This window comes from Homo sapiens, chromosome 19, assembly GCF_000001405.40.
Source record: "Homo sapiens chromosome 19, GRCh38.p14 Primary Assembly".
Classification (NCBI taxonomy): domain Eukaryota; kingdom Metazoa; phylum Chordata; class Mammalia; order Primates; family Hominidae; genus Homo; species Homo sapiens.
Genome location: NC_000019.10, coordinates 48,599,961 through 48,620,304, shown reverse-complemented (window position 1 = coordinate 48,620,304; position 20,344 = coordinate 48,599,961). Strand labels below are relative to the sequence as shown.

The window sequence follows — 20,344 nt, the reverse complement described above, 5'->3', positions numbered from 1 at the left end:
CTGGCGGGTGGGGGGAAGAGTAGATAAGTCATTTTAATCACTGCCCCAGCCAGTCCATCTGGTTGCACACAATATGTATGCTATAATAGGAGTGAAGGCTAATTTTTATTGAGCACTTATTATGTGCAAAATATTGACCTCAGCAGTTTTATTAACTTTCATAATCCTGAAAAACACCCCTGTGTGCCAGGCCTGTTGTCATCCCCTTTTTGTCCATAAGGAGAGTAAGGCCCAAAGAAGTTAAGTGATTTTCCCAAGATCACAGAGAGGTTAAATGACTTGCCCAATCACCCCATTAGTAACTAGCAGAGCCAGGATTTGAATTTGGTTATAGCCTTGCAAGGCCCCATCTCACCATCTTTCTTTGCCACTACTTCTCCCTGGGTCTCCATCTCACCCCTCTTTCTAGGTCTCCTTCCTACCCTTTGGGCCTCCATTCCCCCCACCCCCAAGCCACGGAGTCTCCATTTTGCCTCCCCTATGAAACTCTGTCTCCCTCTTTCTAGGTCAGGGAAGGGCCATCTAGGGGCCGGGGGAGAAGGAGAAGCGGAACTCAAAGGATGGGAATACAGGATGCTATAGATTGAGGTGCAGCAAGATCATCTCGGGTTAGACCTTAAGTAGGACTTCCCAAGCAGCGGCTGCGCCTACGAAGTGCAGCGCGAGATCAGGGAGCGGTGAACCTGATAAGGAAACGCCCGAAGCGTGGGGTCGGAAATTTCCAGATGCCCCGACTAGCCCTGCCAGCCCCGCCTCCTCACCTCCAACACTGGGCCCGCCGGGTCCTCCGGGAGCCACTGAGAGGCCGTCGGCGTCGGGCCAGAGCGTCACCGCGCGACGCATCGTGCTAGCTACACGCATCTCGCTCCCAGATCCCTTTCTTCCGGAAAGCTATCGAGAACACGGCCTGGGTAGGGCCAGAGAGGCCCCCGACGTGCTGGCCCTTCCCTCTTGGACGTTGCGCTTGTTCCTGCGCTCTATGCTCTCTGCCGTTATCGCCCGGCTAGTCAGTCGTCCAACTCACCACAGAGAAGTCCGGATCGTGGTAGAGCGCCGCGTCGCACCCATGTGACGTCACGGCGGCGCCACTCGCTTGAGGCTTTCCCCGCCCACCCCAGCCCGTTCTCTCTTTCCGGACCTGGCCGAGCAGGAGGCGCCATCATGGTGAGCTCGCTTTGCGGCGTTCGGGGCTGGATAATCCGCTGCCATCCGCCGTGGTTTTGGGCTAGGGGCACGCTGGAGGGCGGCAGGGGGTCTGCGGCTGCCCGGAGGGAGCAATTCCCGATACTGGGGACCTACTCTGGGGGCCAGGAAAGCAGGGATGGGTCAGTCATAGCCTACCGCCCCCACTTAGTAGATGACCAAGTGGAGGTACTCGGAGGCTGATATGACTGGGTTTACAAAGCCAGGAAGTGGCAGAGCCAGGATTCCGACCCAGGTGGCTGGACCCGCAGCCACTCTTAGTTATTTGGCTTTGCTGCCTTTATCTGGACCTGTCACTTTCTAGTATGAAAAGTCGGGTTCGATGGGGGCCGCGGCGGGTGAGAGGATCGAGAGCCGAATAACTGGATTTGGGGACCAGGCAGGTCTCTGAGTCTCAGGCCCCTTCCCACCTTGTGATGGTTTTTGAGCCTTTGCCCCAGTGTCTGGCTGTTCGTTGGGTACACAGTAATCTCATCTGACAAGTTTGTGAATTTGGGAAGAAATAATTCACAGGAGATGCTCATCACGGGGTTTTGCACACAGTAAGTGCTGCATAAGTGGAGCTATTAAATAGTTCTTGTAATTGTCAACACAGTCTGAAAAACTTAAGTTGCTCAGAAAGGCAGCAGGGCGGTAGGAGCCTGGCGAGGCGGCTCACGCTTGTTATCCTAGCACTTTGGGAGGCCGAGGCGGGAGGATTCCTTGCCCAGGAGATCAAGACCAGCCTGGCCAATATTGTGAGACCCTGTCTCCACTTTAAAAACGATGTTTTAAAAAGACACTATTTGGTAAGGGTTGTTGGATTGACTGATGCTGTAGGAGAGGTGGTTCTAGTAGTATTGCTAGGTTCTGAATAAGGATTCGTTTTCATCATTACTGCCATTGGTTTGATATTTTTGGTTATCCCTCCGGGTATGGGAACCAGTTTTGATAACATTGTTGCAAAATACAAGTTGTAAAGAATTGACCTTTTTGTATTAAGTTAATATGATTGCTGTGTTACGATGTTTCAGGGTTCTGTGTGCCATGGGCTGAAGGCTTTGTAAACAGCCCCTTTTTACAGAGGGATCAGTGGCAGCCCACAGGTCTCCTGGTGGTGGGCCTGGGATTTGAGCTGGTGTGTTCAGACCTGGGCTTGTGTCCCAGCTCTCAGTTTCAGAAATAAGTAATAATTGGCTATGGTTGGGGGTAATTGGGTCCATGGTTGCCTCTTCACCCCCACAGGGAGTGGACATCCGCCATAACAAGGACCGAAAGGTTCGGCGCAAGGAGCCCAAGAGCCAGGATATCTACCTGAGGCTGTTGGTCAAGGTGAGGCTGGGCCCTGAGGTCTTTGGGAAGGGTCACCCCAGGTCTGACTTGCAGATCCTCCATTCTAGTGCTGGCACCAAGCTCCTCCCAGGGGCCTGCAGAGCAGTCTCGGGTCTCTGGTTCTGTTCCAGGGTCTCCTGCATTTGTATTTTCAGCCTCTAGGCTGTGTACAGCTCGGGAGTGGAGCCAGGATTTTCTAGGTCCTTGGCCAGGAAGGACCTGGGCCAGCTTTCTCCCTCTAGGTCGGTGGGTTGGGGGAAAGGGATAAAGATTATTTTAGTCCAGATCATCATGTGTTTGCCCCTTCACTGGAAGGCTGCGGGGGAGCAGGCTGTCCCAGCTTCTCACTGTCTTCCCGTCCCTCCAGTTATACAGGTTTCTGGCCAGAAGAACCAACTCCACATTCAACCAGGTTGTGTTGAAGAGGTTGTTTATGAGTCGCACCAACCGGCCGCCTCTGTCCCTTTCCCGGATGGTGAGTGGCTGGTCCAGAGAGCACGGTAGACCTGGGAGCCGCTGGGTCTTGTCTGTCTGGAAGGGAGGCAGGACTTGGAGCTCTGGGAGCAACCAGGGCATCAAGGGTTTGTCTCAGCCAGTCGCGAGCGTAGAGCTTGGACTGTTGGTTGGAACTGAGTGTCCATGGGCAGTGGGCAAGTCTCCTGGTCCTCCTCTCCTTCTCTTTGTGAGGTGGAGGTGTCCTGGTGGCTTCAGGAGATTGCCCCAAGTCATAACTGAGTTTTATGTCAAAGGCTCTGCTGAGGGAGGCCCTATTGAACAGTCTGCATTTTTTTTTTTATCTGGAGCTTTCCCCAGCTGGACCTGAGGAGAGGCCTGTGGGGTTTAAGGGGTGTGGTGTGAGTGGGGGGTCCCGTTAGAGGGCACAGCTGCCCTGGCCTGGGGATGCCTCAAGCGGGGCTGAATGTAAACACCAGAACAACTTACGACGTACATCCTCCCCACCCTAAGATCCGGAAGATGAAGCTTCCTGGCCGGGAAAACAAGACGGCCGTGGTTGTGGGGACCATAACTGATGATGTGCGGGTTCAGGAGGTACCCAAACTGAAGGTGAGCTGGCGGGGGCTGGGCAGACCCATCAGACCCTTGCTGTACTGTGCTGTGCTGTGCTGTGCTGTGCTGTGCTGTGCTGGTCCATCCTCAGTCTTGCCACCGCTGGTGAGGCAAGCATCCTGCCTGTCTGAGTGGCTTTGAGGATTGGTGTGGGTCGTCTCTGGCATGGTTGATGGTGGGGTCCCCTGGGCAAGCTTCTTCTGGGGCAAGTTGTAAACTGTTAGTGCTGGCCCCTAGAGCCAGACAGCCTGGGCTCAAGTCTAGACTCCTTTGTCACCTCTGCACAGGTCTTTTTTTGGCCCAGCTTCCTTGCTGTAGTTTCTAGCATAACACCAGGGATGTGGTGGTGAAAGTTCCGGAAGTGTTGAGAACTGCTGCTGTCAGCCCAGGGTGCTCCGGGTAGTAAACGATAGTGTTGGTTACCAGGGCTCTGCTGCGCCAAGGCAGTGGAGGGTGAGTCCTGGCAGCCCCTGGGTGACCACGCAGGGGTCTGACCCGCCAGCCTTGTCCTCTCCACCAGGTATGTGCACTGCGCGTGACCAGCCGGGCCCGCAGCCGCATCCTCAGGGCAGGGGGCAAGATCCTCACTTTCGACCAGCTGGCCCTGGACTCCCCTAAGGGCTGTGGCACTGTCCTGCTCTCCGGTGAGTGATACGTGGTCGACGGGTTTGGACTGAGCTGTGTGGCTACTGGCAGCCTTCACCCTCCTGGATCTGGGAGGCCAGAAGCTGGGCGCCAGATCCCTGTCTCACCCGGTTCTCCTTCCCCTTCCCTAGGTCCTCGCAAGGGCCGAGAGGTGTACCGGCATTTCGGCAAGGCCCCAGGAACCCCGCACAGCCACACCAAGTGAGTATCAGGCCCCCAGCCCTGCCCTCTCCCCAGACTCAGCCTGCAGGGCCAGGCCTGGCCACACTTGGGCTGCTTCTCCTATCCCTCGTACCAGCCAGCCCCAGGCCTTCTGGAACTCTCAGCTGCCTCATCCTGCCTGCTTTTCCCTTCAACACTGCTTGGAGCTGTGTTTTCCAGGGCCTGAGCAGGCATCTCCTGGGGAGCATGCAGTTCACCGGCCTTTGCCAGCCCAGGCTGGGACCCTCCAGGTGGTGGGGCAGGTGCTTCCATAGCCCCTCCTGGCTCCTTGGCTTCCCACTCTGCCAAGCTTTTCCAGCAGCATTGACTCTCCTGGGGCTGAATGTGACAGGCTTGTGGTGTTCCTGTGCCACTCCACAATGGCCTCCTTTAAGAGGGCCCCCCTCTCACTCCCTCCTCTCCCCACAGACCCTACGTCCGCTCCAAGGGCCGGAAGTTCGAGCGTGCCAGAGGCCGACGGGCCAGCCGAGGCTACAAAAACTAACCCTGGATCCTACTCTCTTATTAAAAAGATTTTTGCTGACAGTGCTCTGTGTGTGTTATTGGGGGATGGGTTGGAGAATTGGTTCCTGCGGGTGAGAATGCATTTGGTTTGGGGACAGGGACGTCATGCCAGTGAAGACCAGCCCTCTTCCTGCCCCCACTGCCCCGGAAGCTCCCTGCCTCCTTCCCAACAGCCAGGTGGCAGGTGTTCCCACACCGGCTTCCTTGGGTCAGCCACGCCCGCCCCTCTTAAAGGATCCTGTGCCCCTCCCTGGTGCTGGGATGGCGGGTGGGGCGTGGACCGGGAAGTGCAGGGTGCAGGCTGGCAGGGCTGTGGGGAGGGAGAGACTGCCTGGGAACAGGTGAGGCAATCTCAACCCCCCGGGGACCGGGAAGCCTGAGTCTAGAGGGGCGTTCACCCCCTGGGAGAGCACAGGTAAAGAAAGCGTGTGAGCCGCACCCCCGGACCTCCTCCAGGGGCCTGTGGGGGCCCTCCTGTGTTTACACAAGGGGCCGGGCTCCCTGGATTCCAGGTCGAGGCCTGATGAGTGAGGCCAGAAGCCGGGAAGCACCGCAGAAGTAGAAGCCGGGGAGCCACAGCCTACGTTCTCGGAAAAAGCAGGCACTGGAAGGGAGGCCATTGAGCCCGGCACTAGCCGGTGTGGGTGAGCCCCGGCGATGGGGGGGATGGGTGAGGGTGGGGCGGGGAGGCTGGCCTGCCTTGACTCCTTTCTTCTCTTTGCAGCTCCCTGCTGTGGTCTGGAGGAAGCAGCGGCCTGGGTTGGTGGGATTGGAATGAAGGGCTTCTGGTTTGCAGGGATCAAGGGTCCAGGGTCCCCGAGGTTGGGTCAGGAGCCTCAAGGGGATAACTGAGGCTTGGGAGGGAGACAGGGCGAGATAGAGACTGGCCCCTGTCCGGGAAGAAGCGTCCGGGTAGCTGGCAGGAGATAGCATTTAGGCAGAAACCAGGCTGGGGGCAGCTTGGGTAGGGCTCCCCGCAGATCAGAGGACGGCCTGGAACAGGTCCCAGGGCCAGGCCCCAGGCAGGGGCAGCCAGCCTGAGGAGGGTGGCTGGTTAGGTGGCACTCACACCTAGATGGGCTGTGAAGATCATAGACCTGTCCCATAGTAATGGAGACCCCTGTAGCGCATTTCACCCTCCACTGCAGCAGCTGGAAGGAGTGTGAGGAGGGTCCAGGGAGCAGGGTCCCCCATTGACAGGGTAGGGAAGGGTTTGCCAAGCCTTCGGCCTTTAAGGCTGAGCGAGCAGGCCCAGTGGAGAGGCATCCTGGCTGGTCTGCGGGTGAGAGCTGATGAGCAGGAGAAACTCGTGGGGGCTGTCAGATTTGGCCAGAGACAGATGCTCCAACAGGCAGATACTGTGACTGTCAGTCGGAAGCCATTGGCGTTTGCCAGACAGTGGAAGGAGAGGGTCAGTTCGTCGTGCTCTTGGCCGGGGGCAGGCAGGCAACCTGTCGTGCCTTTAAGGACCTTTGGGTGATTAGAGACAGGCAGGCAGCTTGCCGCCTGGAAATGATCAAGTGGTCAGCCTGACCAAATTCAGGACAGCTGAAGGGTCTGACTGGGCACTGTGTGACTGGTGGGTTGGAGGCTGTCGTGTGGCTGAGCAGAGATGGCCAGCTGATGGGTCACACAGTTGGGGATGGTGTCAGGAGGTCAACCTGACCAGCAGAGACGGCTGGCAGGAAGGTCACGGAAGGCCAGCCAGGCATGGTGCCACTGGGTGCAGGCAGGTGGCGGATCTGAGTGGCCTGACACATTGGATGGTCGCTTATTTGGGCAGCGTGATTGTCAGAACAGTGTGGCAGGGGCTGCTGCAGGGAGCCATTTGGACATCTGCAGGGCCCCGCCGGAGGCCTCGGATGGCCACGTAGGGTCTGCCTATCAGGAGAACCCCCAGATGATCACAGTCCCCAGAGACAGCCAGACCCCCGGGGACCCAGCCTCTCACAGTCAGTCCTCCCACCCGAGTGACCCCGATGGCGGCCTCCCAGCTGGCGGCGCTGGAAGGAGTGGACTCCGGTCCCAGGGTGCCCGGGGCCAGCCCCGGCTTTCTATATTCCGAGGGCCAGCGGCTGGCACTGGAGGCTCTGTTGAGCAAGGGCGCGGAGGCGTTCCAGACCTGCGTGCAGCGCGAGGAGCTGTGGCCCTTCCTCAGTGCGGATGAGGTTCAGGGCTTGGCAGCGGCAGCTGAAGACTGGACAGTGGCCAAGCAGGAGCCCAGCGGGATGGCAGAGGGAGCCACCACCACCGATGTGGACGCGGGCAGCCTGAGCTACTGGCCTGGGCAGTCGGAGCAGCCGGCGCCCGTCCTGCGGCTGGGCTGGCCAGTGGACTCTGCGTGGAAAGGCATCACCCGGGCGCAGCTGTACACCCAGCCTCCTGGAGAGGGTCAGCCGCCCCTCAAGGAGCTGGTGCGGCTGGAGATCCAGGCTGCCCACAAGGTGGGTGTCGCGGGGGCCCTGTGTCCATTCACCAGACTGGGACGGGGACCCAGGCATTCTCTCCCTTGTCCTCCTGGGACTTGCAAGCGCACACCCCTACCCTAAAGGACCTATACCCCTGGGACCCAGGAGTGCACACCTTCCAGCCCCAGGACTCAGGTGCCTACAACCCCAGACCTCATCCTTACTCTCAGAAAGGGGGGCCCGGCCGGGCGCGGTGGCTCACGCCTGTAATTCCAGCACTTTGGGAGGCCGAGGTGGACGGATCACGAGGTCAGGAGTTTGAGACCAGCCTGGCCAACATAGTGAAACCCCGTCTGTACTAAAAATACAAAAATTAGCCGGGCATGGTGTGGGCGCCTGTAGTCCCAGCTACTCGGGAGGCTGAGGAAGCAGAATTGCTTGAACCCGGGAGGCGGAGGTTGCAGTGAGCCAAGATCAAGCCACTGCACTTCAGCCTGGGCGACAGAGCGAGACTCCATCTCAATAAAAAAAAAAAAAGAAAGAAATGGGGGCCCCTACCCTCCCCCAAGACCTGGATGCCCTTAGGTATCGATGCCCCTTGAACCTAATTATGACACCCCCAGTCTCAGTCATTCCCCCATCCCCTCATCACCAAGCCAGGGGTTTCCACTCTCCCTCCAAGGAAGGCCCAGATGTCCACACTGCAGCCCTTGGAAAGCCTGCTGTGTACTTCACAGCCTTAGCGTCCGCCAGCTCCCACGTGAAGGGTTTCTCAGGGACTAATGTGCATCATCGTCCCGGAACCCTGTACCGCCAGAGGGACTATTGTGCCCACGGAGGCACGGGGGCGGTTAAATCTCTTCCCTGTAAGTGGCCGAGTGGGGATTTGAACCCAGGCTGTCTGGCTGCTGAGTCAGGGTTTCCACTGCTTTATGCTGCCTGCAAGATCCAGGCCTTCAGCACCTCCGTGTCCCCCAAGTTCGCCACGGTGGCCTAGCAGGTCAGCCGTCCTGCACCCAGCACCCAGAAAATTCCACAGGACCCAGAAATGCAGTTGCCCACAGTGCCCTACGGGACATCCACCACTGATCCTACAGCCAAACTGCCGTGGACATTTGGGTACCGCAGTGTCGCAGCTCAGGGGACGCTGTTCTGTGTTATAAACGTGATTTGTAGGCCAGCCACGGTGGCTCACGGCCTGTAATCCCAGCACTTTGGGAGGCCAAGGCTGGGGGATCACCTGAGGTCAGGGGTTCAAGACCACCCTGGCCAAGATGGCGAAATCCCGTCTCTACTAAAAATACAAAAATTAGCCGGGCGTGGTGGTGGGTGCCTGTAATCCCAGCTACTCTGGAGGCTGAGGCAGGAGAACTGCTTGAGTCCCAGAGGCCGAAGTTGCAGTGAGCTGATATTGCGCCACTGCACTCCAGCCTGGGCAACAGAGCAAGACTTCGTCTTTTAAAAAAAGAAAAAAAAAGCCGGGCGTGGTGGCTCACTCCTGTACTCCTAGCACTTTGGGAGGCTGAGGCAGGTGGATCACGAGGTCAGGAGATCGAGACCATCCTGGCTAACACGGTGAAAGCCCATCTCTACTAAAAATACAAAAAATTAGCTGGGCGTGGTGGTGGGCGCCTGTAGTCCCAGCTACTTGGGAGGCTGAGGCAGGAGAATTGCTTGAACCCGGGAGGTGGAGTTTGCAGTGAGCTGAGATTGCGCCCCTGAGCTGCAGCCTGGGAGACAGAGTGAGACTCCGTCTCAAAAAAAAAAAAACAACAAAAAACAACAACAACAACAAAAACACAAAAAAACAAGCAAACATGATTTATGATTACAGTTTTCCAGCATTTAGGGGCCGGGAATCTCGAGGAGGGGCTGGGGATCTCATGGAGGGGCAGCGTTTTGCTCATTCACACGTAGGTGCTGTTTGAGCAGCAGTGTATGTCTGGGGGTCTCCCCTTTAGCCCACCTGAACTTTAAACTCCCAGCCCCCAGAGCACTTTACTCCCAGATTCCAGATGTCAGGTTTCCCACACCCTCTGAGTGTCCCCTGAGCCAGCTTCCGTTCACAAGCCCACCGCCCCTCTCCCCATGCCCAGCTGGTGGCCGTGGTCATGGACGTCTTCACTGACCCAGACCTGCTTTTGGACTTGGTGGATGCTGCCACGCGCCGCTGGGTACCTGTCTACCTGCTCCTGGACCGCCAGCAGCTGCCTGCCTTCCTGGAACTGGCCCAGCAGCTGGGGGTGAACCCCTGGAACACGGAGGTAGGGGCCGGGCCAGGGGGTCCTGTGAGTCCCCATTCCCCTGGCATGGGGGCAGTGGGGGCAGACCCTTCCATGGAGCTCCGGGTCATTGAGATGGATGCTAGCAGGGATGGTCCCCTGGGATCTGATGCCCACAGCACTGGGGAGGTGGGGGTGGGCATTCCCAAGGAATCTTGAGTCACTGAGTTTGGGTATCCCCAAGAAACGCCTGAGGGTTGATATCAGTGGCTCTAAGGAAGCTGAGACAGATACTTCTTTTTTTTTTTTTTTTTTTTTTTTTTGAGACGGAGTGTTGCTTTGTCGCCCAGGCTGGAGTGCAGTGGCGTGATCTCGGCTCACTGCAACCTCCACCTCCCGGGTTCAAACGATTCTCCTGCCTTAGACTCCCCAGTAGCTGGGATTACAGGCATGTGTCACCATGCCTGGCTAACTTTTGTATTTTTAGTAGAGACGGGGTTTCGCCATGTTGGCCAGGCTGGTCTCGACCTCCTGACCTCAGCTGATCCACCCGCCTCGGCCTCCCAAAGTGCTGGGATTACAAGTGTGAGCCACCACGCCTGGCCTTGGACAGATACTTCTATGGAGTCATGGGTCCCCCAGTTAGAACCAGTCTGGAGGGAGCCTGAATCCATGCAGTGGGCCTCAGCAAGGGTGTACCCTCCACTCCCCACACCAACAGAACGTGGATGTCCGTGTCGTGCGGGGCTGCAGCTTCCAGAGCCGCTGGCGACGGCAGGTGAGCGGCACCGTGCGGGAGAAGTTTGTGCTGCTGGACGGCGAGAGGGTCATCTCAGGATCCTACAGGTGTAGCCCCCGCCCCGCCCCCCACCTCCCGGCGTCCTATACCCCACTTTCCCTCAGTGTGCTCAGAGAACAGCTGGCATCCCCTTGCCCAGGCCTCTCTTTTCTCATCTGTGTAATGGGGGCAAAACACTCTTCCCTGCGGAGGAGGTTGGTGCCGCGGCCGGACCTGGTGCTGGCCTGTTTAGTGGTCTTGGGTAAGTCTGCTTCTCTTTGACCTGGTGTTTTCTTATCTGGAAAACTGGGCAAACAGTTTGGGGGTGGGGTTTGTTCAAAATCAGGAGCACCTGGATTGGGATCTAAGCTCTGCCTCGGGTAAATAACTCCACCTCTCTGAGCATCTAAGAAAATGCCCGGACATGGTGGCTCACGCCTGTAATCCCAGCACTTTGAGAGGCTGAGGCGGGCAGATTGGCTGAGGTCAGGAGTTCAAGACCAGTCTGGCCAACATGGTGAAACCCTGTCTTCCCAGCTACTTGGGAGGTTGAGGCAGGAGAATTGCTTGAACCCAGGAGAGAGGTTGCAGTGAGCCGAGATCGCGCTGTCGCACTCCAGCCTGGGAGACAGAGCAAGACTCCATCTCAAAAAAGCAAAAAAAAAAAAAAAAAAAAAAGAAAGAAAGAAACTGCAAATAATAACAGCACCTACCTCACAGGGTCACAGCACAGCTAGGGAGGAGAGGGGTGTGGCCTCTGGGACCAGACGGCCTGGATTCAAATTCTAGCTCTCTCAGTTCCTCGTTGTGTGACTTCAGGCAACTTACTTCACCTCTCTGTGCCTCAGTTTCCCCCTCTATGTCATGGGCTGATAGGGTTAGAGCCTCTAGAACCAGGTCCCTCAACAGGGGTGGCACCCACGCTCGGGCTGGGTAAGTCTTTGTTTTAGGAGCTGTTGGGTGCATTGTGGGAGGCTCCTCGGCATCTTCAGCCTCCACCCAGCAGAGGTCAGTAGCATCACACGCCCCATACCCCCGACTTTCCCTGCCAATTAGAGAACCGAAAACCTCTCCAGACAGCGCAGATGCCCACTGGGGAGCACAGGTGCCCAGCTGAGAACACTGCTCAGGAACAGTGGCTTTCAACCCTGTGCATGCACCAGAATCCCTGGGAGCGCTTGTTAAAACACAGCTTTTGGGCTGGGCGTGGTGGCTCACACCTGTAATCCCAGCACTTTGGGAGGCCGAGGCAGGTGGATCACCCGAGGTCAGGAGTTTCAGACCAGCCTGATTAACATGGGGAAACCCTGTCTCTACTAAAAATACAAAAAATCAGCCGGGCCTGGTGGAATGCATCTCTAGTCCCAGCTACTCGGGAGGCTGAGGCAGGAGAATCGCTAGAACCTGGGAGGTGGAGGTTGCAGTGAGCCAAGATCGCGCCACTGCACTAAAGCCTGGGTGACCGAGCGAGACTCTGTCTCAAAAAATAAAAAAAAAAAAAAAAAAGGAAAAGAAAAAGAAAACGGAAAAAGGCCAGGCGTGGTGGTTCATGTCTGTAGTCCCAGCACTTTGGGAGGCTGAGGCAGGAGGATCGCTTGAGCCCAGGACTTCAAGACCAGCCTGGGCAACATAGCAGGACCCCATCTCTACAAAAATTTAAAAAAATAAAAATTAGACATGATGGAGCATGCTTCTAGTCCCAGCTACTCAGGAGGCTGAGGTGGGAGGATTGCTTGAGCCCAGGAGGTAGAGGCTGCAATGAGCCAAGATTGCACCACTGCACTCCAGCCTGGGCAGCAGAGCAAAACCCTGTTTCAAAAAGAAAAAGAGAGAACAATACACAGCTTTTGGACCCCACTGCCATTCATCGTGCCTGGAACAGGACCTGAGAATCTGCATTTTCAGGAAGTTCCCACTTGCTGCTGCTGCTGTTTCTGGTCCAGGGACCACACTTTGAGAATGATTGGAGTTGAGACCAGGATGTTTGAAATGTTTGAAAGAGTGTTTACCTTCCCAGCTTGGTGTGAGGATTCAGTGGCACGTAACGTAAGACAGGCTTGGCCAGGTGCCGTGGCTCATACCTGTAATCCCAGCACTTTGGGAGGCTGAGGTGGGAGGATCACTTGAGCCCAAGAATCCGAGACCACCCTGGGCAACATAGCTGGACCTTATCTCTACAAAAAGAAAAAAAAAAAAAGGAAAAGAAAAAGAAAAGAAAACAAAGAATGCTCCATGAACATCAGCTGTCATTTATTATGATATATATATATTTTTTACCATATTTCATGGACTCTAAAGTGCTACCAATGGAGAGAAGCATCCTGATTGAGATGTGAGAAGCTCTGCGTCTTAGAACCAGTGGAACAGAGTAATACAATCAAACCCACGGGCCGTGCTCCCCTGCCGCTCAGTCAGGCCTGGGGATGCTTCCCCTAGCACCGGGCTCCTGGTGGACAGCCTTAGAAGGGATGAAGCCAGGGCCGCAAGAGGTTGTCCAGGGCCTCTCTGGCCATTTAGTGGGGGAAGGACATGGGGACATGGGGAGTGGCGGATCTGGGAGAACAGTCCCAGGCCCTGTCCTCCCTGTTGGTCACAGCAAACGTGGAGGAAGCAGCATACCCAGCCCCAGTGCCAGGCTGGTGGTGGCCCCCACTGTCTGGCTGCTCGGGGCTCTGTTACACAGGCGGCCGGTGCAGCAGTTGGTGGTGAGGCTGTAGGTGACGCCCCTGTAGCTGACGGGTTCCTCAAGGCCGCAGCTGGTGGCTCGCAGGCAGCCTTTGTTGATGACCGGACCAGTGCCCGGGGCGACCCCGTGGCCTGTGAAGCAGTCCTCGTCATCGCCACAGTGCATGTAGGTACCAGGACACTGCATGGAGTCGGTGAGCTCACAGAAGACGCAGTCCTTGACGCCCGTCGTGCCTGGGGGCAGAGCCATCACCAGAAGCAGCAGCCAGCACAGGACCATGGCGGCCTGGCGGCGTTGACCCTGCCCCAGCCAGGCCGTGGGCTTCCCAGACCTCCCGGAACCGCTGAATGAAGGACCTCTGAGGACTCCTCTTGCCCACGGGACTTTGGCCCTGGTCCTGGCCTCCCAGGGTCAGCGCCTGGAGTGTCCTCTGTTCCCAACGCCCTGCGTCCCTCTAAGTCCTGGGGATGGAGGTGAGCGGGTGGCTGCTGCCCAACAAGAGTCTGTGAATGGAATGAGTGATCTCACAGATCCCTCAGGGTTCCCACTGGCCGCTCTGGGGATGAGGTCATAGGTGAGAGGAGTGGGTGTCACAATCCAAGGGGTGGCCTGCCCCGCCGACCTGCCGGGGCGCAAGAGGGCTCTGCCATCCCTGCCAAGGTGAAGACGCCCTGAACCCAGAGGACGCTGGCCACAAGCTTGTCCGCATTCTCTGTGCTGTACACCCGCCAAGGGCTTGACTTCAGCCTCACACCTCCCATAGTGACCCCATATTCCAGATGGGTAAACTAAGGCTGGGGAAAGTGATGTATCCAGGGTCCCCGAGCCAGGATGAGAGCCAGGTTCATTGAATTCCAAAGAGGCTGGGAAAGAAGAGGGTGTATTAACTGAGCACTTGCTGTGTGCCAGGATTCATGCTCAGTGCTTGCTTGCTTTTATTTTTTTGAGACGGAGTCTCTCACTCTGTCACCCAGGCTGGAGTGCAGTGGCGTGATCTCAGCTCACTGCAGCTTCTGCTTCCCAGCTTCAAGCGATTCTCGTAACTCAGCCTCCCGAGTGGCTGGGACTGCAGGCGCATGCAACCACATCTGGCTAATTTTTGTATTTTTAGTAGAGACAGGGTTTCACCATGTAGGCCAGGCTGGTTGCGAACTCTTGAGCTCAAGTGATCTGCCCGCCTCGACCTCCCAAAGTGCTGGGATTACAGACGTGAGCCACCACACCACGCCTGGCACTTGGTGCTTTCAATAACAACTACTGTGATGACAGGAAGTGTTAGGGCACCGGCCCCCACAGCTCACAGGCTCTCAGGGCCAGCTACGTGCAGGGGGCTTGATTCAAATTCAGTCATTTGAATATTCCTATGTTGTATTTATTTCTTAATTTTATTTTTTATTTTAAAAAATTGGCCGGGCGCAGTGGCTCACGCCTGTAATCCCAGCACTTTGGGAGGCCGAGGCGGGTGGATCACCTGAGCTCAGGAGTTCAAGACCAGCATGGCCAACGTGGTAAAACCCCATCTCTACTAAAAATACAAAAATTTGCTGGGCATGGTGGTGTGCACCTGTAATCCCAGCTACTTGGGAGGCTTGAACCTGGGAGGTGGAGGTTGCAGTGAGCCAATATTGTGCCACTGCACTTGAGCCTAGGCAATAGAGCAAGACTCCATCTCAAAAAAAAAAAAAAATAGGATCTTGCTCTGTTGCCTAGACTGGAGTGCAGTGGCGCGATCTTGGCTCACTGCAGCCTCAACTTCCCAGGCTCAAGTGATTCTCCTCCCTGAGCCTCCAGAGTAGCTGGGACTATAGGCGTGCACCACCATGCCCGGCTAATTTTGTAAAATTTTTTATAGAGATGGGGTCTTGCTATGTTGCCCAGGCTGGTCTCAAACTCCTAGCCTCAAGTGATCCTCCTGCCTCGGCCTCCCAAAGTGCTGGGATTACAGGCATGAGCCACTGCACACGGCCTTCCTAGGTTTTTGCTCCAGATTGCAGATGAGCACTGCAGGGAGCAGCAACGTGGAGAGCTTGGTGCACAGCCAGGACTGACTAAATGGCAGTCATTCTAGGAAGCAGCTGGGTCTTAAAACAATCCCTGTTAGTGTCCGGAAGTGAATTCCGTCTCTTTCCAAAGGGGAAAACTGAGGCATTGAGGTGTTCCTAAGTGGGGACCAGGCAGAGCCTGGGTTTAAACTCCAGTCTGATTCCAGATAAGTTTTTTTTTTTTTTTTTTTTTTTTGAGTCAGAGTCTCGCTCTGTCGCCCAGGTTGGAGTGCAGTGGTGTGATTTCAGCTCACTGCAACCTCCACCTCCCGGGTTCAAGCAATTCTCCTGCCTCAGCCTCCTGAGTAGCTGGAATTACAGGCATGTGCCACCATACCCAGCTAATTTCTGTATTTTTAGTAGAGATGGGGTTTCACCATGTTGGTCAGGCTGATCTCAAACTCCTGACCTCATGATCTGCCCGCCTCAGCCTCCCAAAGTGCTGGGATTACAGGAGTGAGCCACCGCATCTGGCTTTTTTTTTTTTGGGAGGGGGGCGAGGGGGACAGGGTCTTGCTTTGCTGCCCAGGCTGGAATGCAGTGGTATTATCACGGCTCACTGCAGCCTCAATTTCCCAGGCTCAGCCGGGCACGGGTGGCTCACACCTGTAATCCCAGCACTTTGGGAGGCCGAGGCGGGTGGATCACCTGAGGTCAGGGGTTCGAGACCAGCCTGGCCAATGTGGTGAAACCCCATCTCTACTAAAAATACAAAAAATTAGCCGGGCATGGCGGCAGGTGCCTGTAATCCCAACTACTCAGGAGGCTGAGGCAGGAGAATTGCTTGAAGCCAGGAGGCAGAGGTTGCAGTGAGCCGAGATCATGCCACTACACTCCAGCCTGGGCAAAAAGAGCGAAACTCCGTCTCACAAAAAAAAAAAAAAAAAAAAAAATCCCAGGGTCAAGGGATCCTCCCGCCTCAGTCTCCCAAGTGGCTGGGAGTACAGGTGTGCGCCACCACACCTGGCTAGTTTTTTTGATTTTTTGTAGAGATAGGGTCTCACCATGTTGCCCAGGCTGGTCTGAAACTCCTGGGCTCAAGCAACCCTCCTGCCTCAGCCTCCCAAAGTGTGAGTCACCACACCTGGCCCTGATTATATAAGTGTCTTAACTTGGGCTGTCTTCACTCCACCCCTCCCGAGTAGGTACTTCAGTTGTGCCCATTCTACAGACAGGGAAGCTGAGGCTGGAGAGGTCAGGACTCGCCTGAGGTCCTACGGTCTCCCCTGGGACCTGGCTGAGGATGGGGGCCGGGCTGGGCCCTCAGGGTTGGAGACTCTGACCCCCTACTCCCCGACCCCCAGCTTCACGTGGAGTGACGCACGCCTGCACCGAGGCCTGGTGACCCTGCTGACTGGTGAAATTGTTGACGCCTTCAGCCTTGAGTTCCGGACGCTGTACGCGGCCTCCTGCCCGCTCCCACCTGCGCCCCCCCAGAAACCCTCGGTCATAGGTGGCCTGCAGCGGGGCCGCAGCCCGCACCGCGTGTCCCGCCGCCGCTCCGTGGCCCCCGCGTCGCCTCCGCCGCCTGACGGCCCGCTGGCCCACCGCCTGGCCGCCTGCCGCGTCTCCCCTGCTACCCCGGGGCCGGCACTCAGTGACATTCTAAGGAGTGTGCAGCGCGCCCGGACCCCCAGCGGCCCCCCGGCCCGGCCCAGCCGCTCCATGTGGGACCTAAGCCGCCTGTCCCAGCTGTCTGGCTCCAGTGATGGGGACAACGAGGTGAGACCTTGTGGCTGGTGCCAGAAGATGGAGCCCAGGAAGGGGAAGGCGTTTGCCCAGGGTGGTGCAAGCCAGGCTCCAGGGGCCCTGCTCCCAGCCAGAGCAGGCGTTTCCTGAGGGCCTGCACCCCTAAATTCATAATGGCATCGTTTGTTCATTTCCTGCACGCCTGCTGCATTTTGGGCAGGTGGGCGCTGGGTGGCATGGGGCAGAGACAGGAGAGCCCTGGGTGCAAATCCTGGCATGACAGACTAGGTGGGGGGAAGCCGAGGACTTGAATTCTCTGAACCTCGGTATCCTCATCTAGGAAGGAGCAGAGCAAGGGCACTCATTCCGAGTTTGGTTGGGGGAGGAATCCACTTGGCTAAATGAAATAGAGTAGTAATGACAACAACAATACATTCCTGAAACAGGGAGATCGAGACCAGCCTGGCCAGCATAGTGAAACCCTATCTCTACTAAAAATACAAAAAAATTCGCTGGGTGTGTTGGTGCACACCTGTAGTCCCAGCTACTCCGGAGGCTTAGGCAGGAGAATCGTTTGAGCCAGGGAGGCGGCGGTTGCAGTGAGCTGAGATCGTTCCACTGCACTCTAGCCTGGGTGACAGAGCAAGGCTGTCTCAAAATAATAATAATAATAATAATAATAATAATAATAATAATAATAAACAATAAATAAATACATTCCTGAAGTGGAATTTATTTATTTTGTGACATCCTCATCCCAGGCCAAAGAAAGCTATATATATATATATATATATATATATATATATATATATATATATATATTTTTTTTTTTTTTTTTTTGAGATAGGGTCTTGCTCTGCAATGCCTTGGGAATCAGGAATCATCTCCCTCCGTCCCAGGCAAGGAAGGCTCCTAGCTGGAGAGGAGACGGGGGATGGGCAGGGGCAAGGTCCTTACCTTCACCTGGTCCTGAGCACCCTCACCCAGCATCCCCTCCCTTGGCAAATATTTGATCCCGGCTGGCAGATGCCGGCGCTTCCGGTTCCTCCCCAGCTGCAGAGGTGGGGACCCAGCTCCTTGTCCCTCTGTAGGTTAGGGGGTCCCAGGTTTGCCCTCTCACTTCCCCCCTTCCCTCTCGGGCTCCCCACACCGTCCTCCTTACCTGCTTCCTCCTCTGCATCCCTCTCCTTTCTGTCCCTCCTCCTGCTGCTGCCTTCCTGCCTCTTCCTCACCTCATCCTTCCCCTTTCACCCTCTCTGTCTCCTCTCTCTCCTTCCTGGCTCCCCTCCTCCCTCCTCTCCTTCTTTCTCCTCCCTCACCTTCTCCCTTACCCCTTCCTCTTCTTTTACCTCCTCCACCCATTTTTTTTTTTTTTTTTTTTTTTTGAGATAGGGTCTCGCTCTGTCTCCCAGGCTGGAGTACAGTGGCATGATCTCGGCTCACTGCAGCCTCAACCTCCTGGGCTCAAGTGATCCTCCCACCTCAGCCTTCCAAGTAGCTAGGATTACAGACCCACGCCACCACGCCTGGCTAATTTTTGTATTTTTTGGAGAGATGAGGTCTCACTGTGTTGCCTAGGTTGGTCTCGAACTCCTGAGCTCAAGCAATCCTCCCACCTCCCAAAGTGCTGGGATTACTGGTGTGAGCCACCGCGTCCGGCCTCCATCTCTCTCCTCCCTCTCTCCTCTCTTCCCTCCCTTCCCTCCTCCACCATCTCCTTCCACCTCCCTCAAATCCTCTATCACTTCCTTTTTTTTTTTTTGAGACTGAGTCTTGTTCTGATGCCCAGGCTGGAGTGCGGTGGCGCTATCTCAGCTCACTGCAATCTCTCCCTTCCGGGTTCAAGCGATTCTCCTGCCTCAGCCTCCCGAGTAGCTAGGATTACAGGCGCCCACCACCACCTCAGGCTAATTTTTGTATTTTTAGTAGAGATAGGGTTTCACCATGTTGGCCAGGCTGGTCTTGAACTCCTGACCTCAGGTGATCCACCCACCTCGGCCTCCCAAAGTGCTGGGATTACAGGCGTGAGCCACCGTGCCTGGCCGTCTGTCACTTTCGCTGCTTCTCTCTTGCCTCACCTCCTGCCTTCCCTGGATCTGGGATGCCCCCAGGGCCCCACCCCAGCCTCCTCTCACCTCCCTCTCTTTCCCTCCACAGCTCAAGAAATCCTGGGGCTCCAAGGACACTCCAGCCAAGGCTCTGATGAGGCAGCGGGGCACTGGAGGAGGCCCCTGGGGGGAAGTGGACTCCCGACCTCCGTGGGGCGGTGCCCTGCCCCTGCCCCCCGCCCACCGCCTCCGCTATCTGTCCCCAGCCCGAAGGCGGTTCGGTGGGGATGCTACATTCAAACTTCAAGAGCCCAGAGGCGTCAGGCCGTCAGACTGGGCCCCCCGGGCAGGACTTGGGGGGCAACCCTGAACAGGAGCCCAAGCCAAATCTGCTGGCCCACCCAAGGAGCAGTGCCGGACAACTGTCGGCTCAGAGCCCTCTGCCTCAATGCCCTGCCTTGGACAAGGCTTCTGGCCTCGGCGTCTGTCAAGCAGAAGGGATGTTTGTCACTTGTTCTGCAACTTGGGCCGGGAGTGGTGGCTCATGCCTGTAATCCCTGCACTTTGGGAGGCTAAGGTGGGAGGGTTGCTTAAGGCCAGGAGTTGGAGACCAGCCTGGGCAACATAGTGAGACCCCATCTCTACAATTAAAAAAACAAATTAGTTGGGTGTGGTGGCGCACGCCTGTGGTCCCAGCTACGCAGGAGGCTGAGGTGGGAGGATCCCTTGAGCTCAGGAGGTGGAGGCAGCAGTGAGCCAAGATCATGCCCTTGCACTCCAGCCTGGGCAACACAGTGAGAGGCCATCTCTTTAAAAAAAAAAAAAAAAGAAAAAAGAAAAAGAAAGGCTGATCGAGGTGGCTCACTCCTGTAATCCCAGCACTTTGGGAGGCTGAGGCATGTGGATCACCTGAGGTCAGGAGTTCAAGACCAACCTGACCAACATGGTGAAACCCCATCTCTACCAAATACAAAAATTAGCCAGGTGTGGTGGCGGGCGCCTGTAATCCCAGCTACTTAGGAGGCTGAGACGGGAGAATTGCTTGAACCCGGGAGGCGGAGGTTGCAGTGAGCTGAGATCACGCCACTGCACTCCAGCCTGGGTGACAGAGCGAGATTTCATCTCAAACAAAAAAAAGGACTTGGGCAAGCCCATTGCCTGCACCAGACCTCAGTGTCACAACCCAGAAGATGGGCTGGCAGCGTCCCCAGGCAGCGGATCCTAAAGAAGACACACACAGCTCCCGAGGGTCAGGCCTTCCTGATGAGGGGCCCGGGTGAGGCCCCGAGCTAGAGCTGCTAGAGCTGTGGAGGGGAAGATGGGGAGTCGCTGCCAGGCACACTGTGTTCAGGAGCTGTGGGGAAACTGAGGCAAGGAGCTGAATACTGAGGGAGTGGAATGTGGTACAGCCACAGGGGAACAGGGTGGGTGGTGGGACTTTCTGTGGGCGCTGAGAGGGCGGGTCTGCCGGAGCTCCCGTTTACCTCTGCTCGGAATAAAACCACTTTATGCCAAAAA

The 20,344-nt window shown here is 56.4% G+C and overlaps 4 protein-coding genes across 10 annotated transcripts in view, besides 10 other annotated features; 2 read left to right on the top strand and 2 right to left on the bottom strand.

Annotated features, from left to right (window-relative positions):
* Positions 1 to 799, bottom strand: part of SPHK2 (sphingosine kinase 2) — a 10,900-nt gene extending 10,101 nt beyond the window's left edge. For 3 of the 4 annotated variants that reach the window (NM_020126.5, NM_001204158.3, NM_001243876.2), the window contains exon 1: positions 762 to 799. The gene's annotated coding sequence lies outside the window, so the exon portion shown is untranslated. Of the gene's footprint in view, positions 1 to 615 lie in introns of all 4 variants that reach the window. The other variant, NM_001204159.3, reaches the window with a different exon arrangement.
* Positions 456 to 545: an enhancer, noted in NCBI's record as "active region_14903". NCBI's record gives its function as "activates an Ori minimal core promoter by ATAC-STARR-seq in GM12878 lymphoblastoid cells {active_cell/tissue: GM12878}" and the evidence as "EXISTENCE:reporter gene assay evidence [ECO:0000049][PMID:35858748]".
* Positions 706 to 1,385: an enhancer, noted in NCBI's record as "active region_14902". NCBI's record gives its function as "activates an Ori minimal core promoter by ATAC-STARR-seq in GM12878 lymphoblastoid cells {active_cell/tissue: GM12878}" and the evidence as "EXISTENCE:reporter gene assay evidence [ECO:0000049][PMID:35858748]".
* RPL18 (ribosomal protein L18) lies at positions 1,127 to 4,974 on the top strand. 3 transcript variants are annotated; one of them, NR_073022.2, is made up of 7 exons: positions 1,127 to 1,164; positions 2,428 to 2,514; positions 2,890 to 2,989; positions 3,481 to 3,579; positions 4,103 to 4,226; positions 4,359 to 4,428; positions 4,858 to 4,974. NR_073022.2 is itself a non-coding variant. In NM_000979.4 (7 exons), exons 1-7 carry the CDS (start codon positions 1,162 to 1,164, stop codon positions 4,931 to 4,933), a joined length of 567 nt encoding a protein of 188 aa, NP_000970.1. In that variant the 5' UTR covers positions 1,127 to 1,161; the 3' UTR covers positions 4,934 to 4,974. The 3 variants fall into 3 exon arrangements, 2 of the variants coding, with proteins under 2 accessions (NP_000970.1, NP_001257419.1); NM_000979.4 differs by having other exon boundaries at positions 2,882 to 2,989; NM_001270490.2 differs by lacking the exon at positions 2,428 to 2,514 and having other exon boundaries at positions 2,882 to 2,989.
* Positions 1,656 to 2,486: an enhancer, noted in NCBI's record as "H3K27ac hESC enhancer chr19:49121076-49121906 (GRCh37/hg19 assembly coordinates)". NCBI's record gives its function as "activates a minimal SCP1, AML or CMV promoter by ChIP-STARR-seq in naive H9 embryonic stem cells {active_cell/tissue: H9 hESC(naive)}" and the evidence as "EXISTENCE:reporter gene assay evidence [ECO:0000049][PMID:30033119]".
* Positions 3,319 to 4,149: an enhancer, noted in NCBI's record as "H3K27ac-H3K4me1 hESC enhancer chr19:49119413-49120243 (GRCh37/hg19 assembly coordinates)". NCBI's record gives its function as "activates a minimal SCP1, AML or CMV promoter by ChIP-STARR-seq in naive and primed H9 embryonic stem cells {active_cell/tissue: H9 hESC(naive and primed)}" and the evidence as "EXISTENCE:reporter gene assay evidence [ECO:0000049][PMID:30033119]".
* Positions 4,150 to 4,981: an enhancer, noted in NCBI's record as "H3K27ac-H3K4me1 hESC enhancer chr19:49118581-49119412 (GRCh37/hg19 assembly coordinates)". NCBI's record gives its function as "activates a minimal SCP1, AML or CMV promoter by ChIP-STARR-seq in naive and primed H9 embryonic stem cells {active_cell/tissue: H9 hESC(naive and primed)}" and the evidence as "EXISTENCE:reporter gene assay evidence [ECO:0000049][PMID:30033119]".
* Positions 4,982 to 5,813: an enhancer, noted in NCBI's record as "H3K27ac-H3K4me1 hESC enhancer chr19:49117749-49118580 (GRCh37/hg19 assembly coordinates)". NCBI's record gives its function as "activates a minimal SCP1, AML or CMV promoter by ChIP-STARR-seq in primed H9 embryonic stem cells {active_cell/tissue: H9 hESC(primed)}" and the evidence as "EXISTENCE:reporter gene assay evidence [ECO:0000049][PMID:30033119]".
* On the top strand, positions 5,229 to 20,344 carry FAM83E (family with sequence similarity 83 member E). Of its 2 annotated transcripts, none has more exons than XM_024451561.2 (7): positions 5,229 to 5,368; positions 5,466 to 5,593; positions 5,678 to 7,397; positions 9,458 to 9,625; positions 10,305 to 10,429; positions 16,394 to 16,811; positions 18,936 to 20,344. In XM_024451561.2, exons 3-7 carry the CDS (start codon positions 6,933 to 6,935, stop codon positions 19,194 to 19,196), a joined length of 1,437 nt encoding a protein of 478 aa, XP_024307329.1. In that variant the 5' UTR covers positions 5,229 to 5,368; positions 5,466 to 5,593; positions 5,678 to 6,932; the 3' UTR covers positions 19,197 to 20,344. The 2 variants fall into 2 exon arrangements, with proteins under 2 accessions (XP_024307329.1, NP_060178.2); NM_017708.4 differs by having other exon boundaries at positions 5,466 to 5,597.
* Positions 5,486 to 5,545: an enhancer, noted in NCBI's record as "active region_14901". NCBI's record gives its function as "activates an Ori minimal core promoter by ATAC-STARR-seq in GM12878 lymphoblastoid cells {active_cell/tissue: GM12878}" and the evidence as "EXISTENCE:reporter gene assay evidence [ECO:0000049][PMID:35858748]".
* Positions 5,576 to 5,675: an enhancer, noted in NCBI's record as "active region_14900". NCBI's record gives its function as "activates an Ori minimal core promoter by ATAC-STARR-seq in GM12878 lymphoblastoid cells {active_cell/tissue: GM12878}" and the evidence as "EXISTENCE:reporter gene assay evidence [ECO:0000049][PMID:35858748]".
* Positions 5,696 to 5,745: an enhancer, noted in NCBI's record as "active region_14899". NCBI's record gives its function as "activates an Ori minimal core promoter by ATAC-STARR-seq in GM12878 lymphoblastoid cells {active_cell/tissue: GM12878}" and the evidence as "EXISTENCE:reporter gene assay evidence [ECO:0000049][PMID:35858748]".
* Positions 6,118 to 6,294: a silencer, noted in NCBI's record as "fragment chr19:49117268-49117444 (GRCh37/hg19 assembly coordinates)". NCBI's record gives its function as "represses an EF-1alpha promoter that drives an FKBP-Casp9 reporter gene in an ReSE screen in HepG2 liver carcinoma cells {active_cell/tissue: HepG2}" and the evidence as "EXISTENCE:reporter gene assay evidence [ECO:0000049][PMID:32094911]".
* SPACA4 (sperm acrosome associated 4) lies at positions 12,591 to 13,563 on the bottom strand. Its single transcript, NM_133498.3, has one exon. The coding sequence runs from the start codon at positions 13,324 to 13,326 to the stop codon at positions 12,952 to 12,954; it is 375 nt and encodes a 124-aa protein (NP_598005.1). The 5' UTR covers positions 13,327 to 13,563; the 3' UTR covers positions 12,591 to 12,951.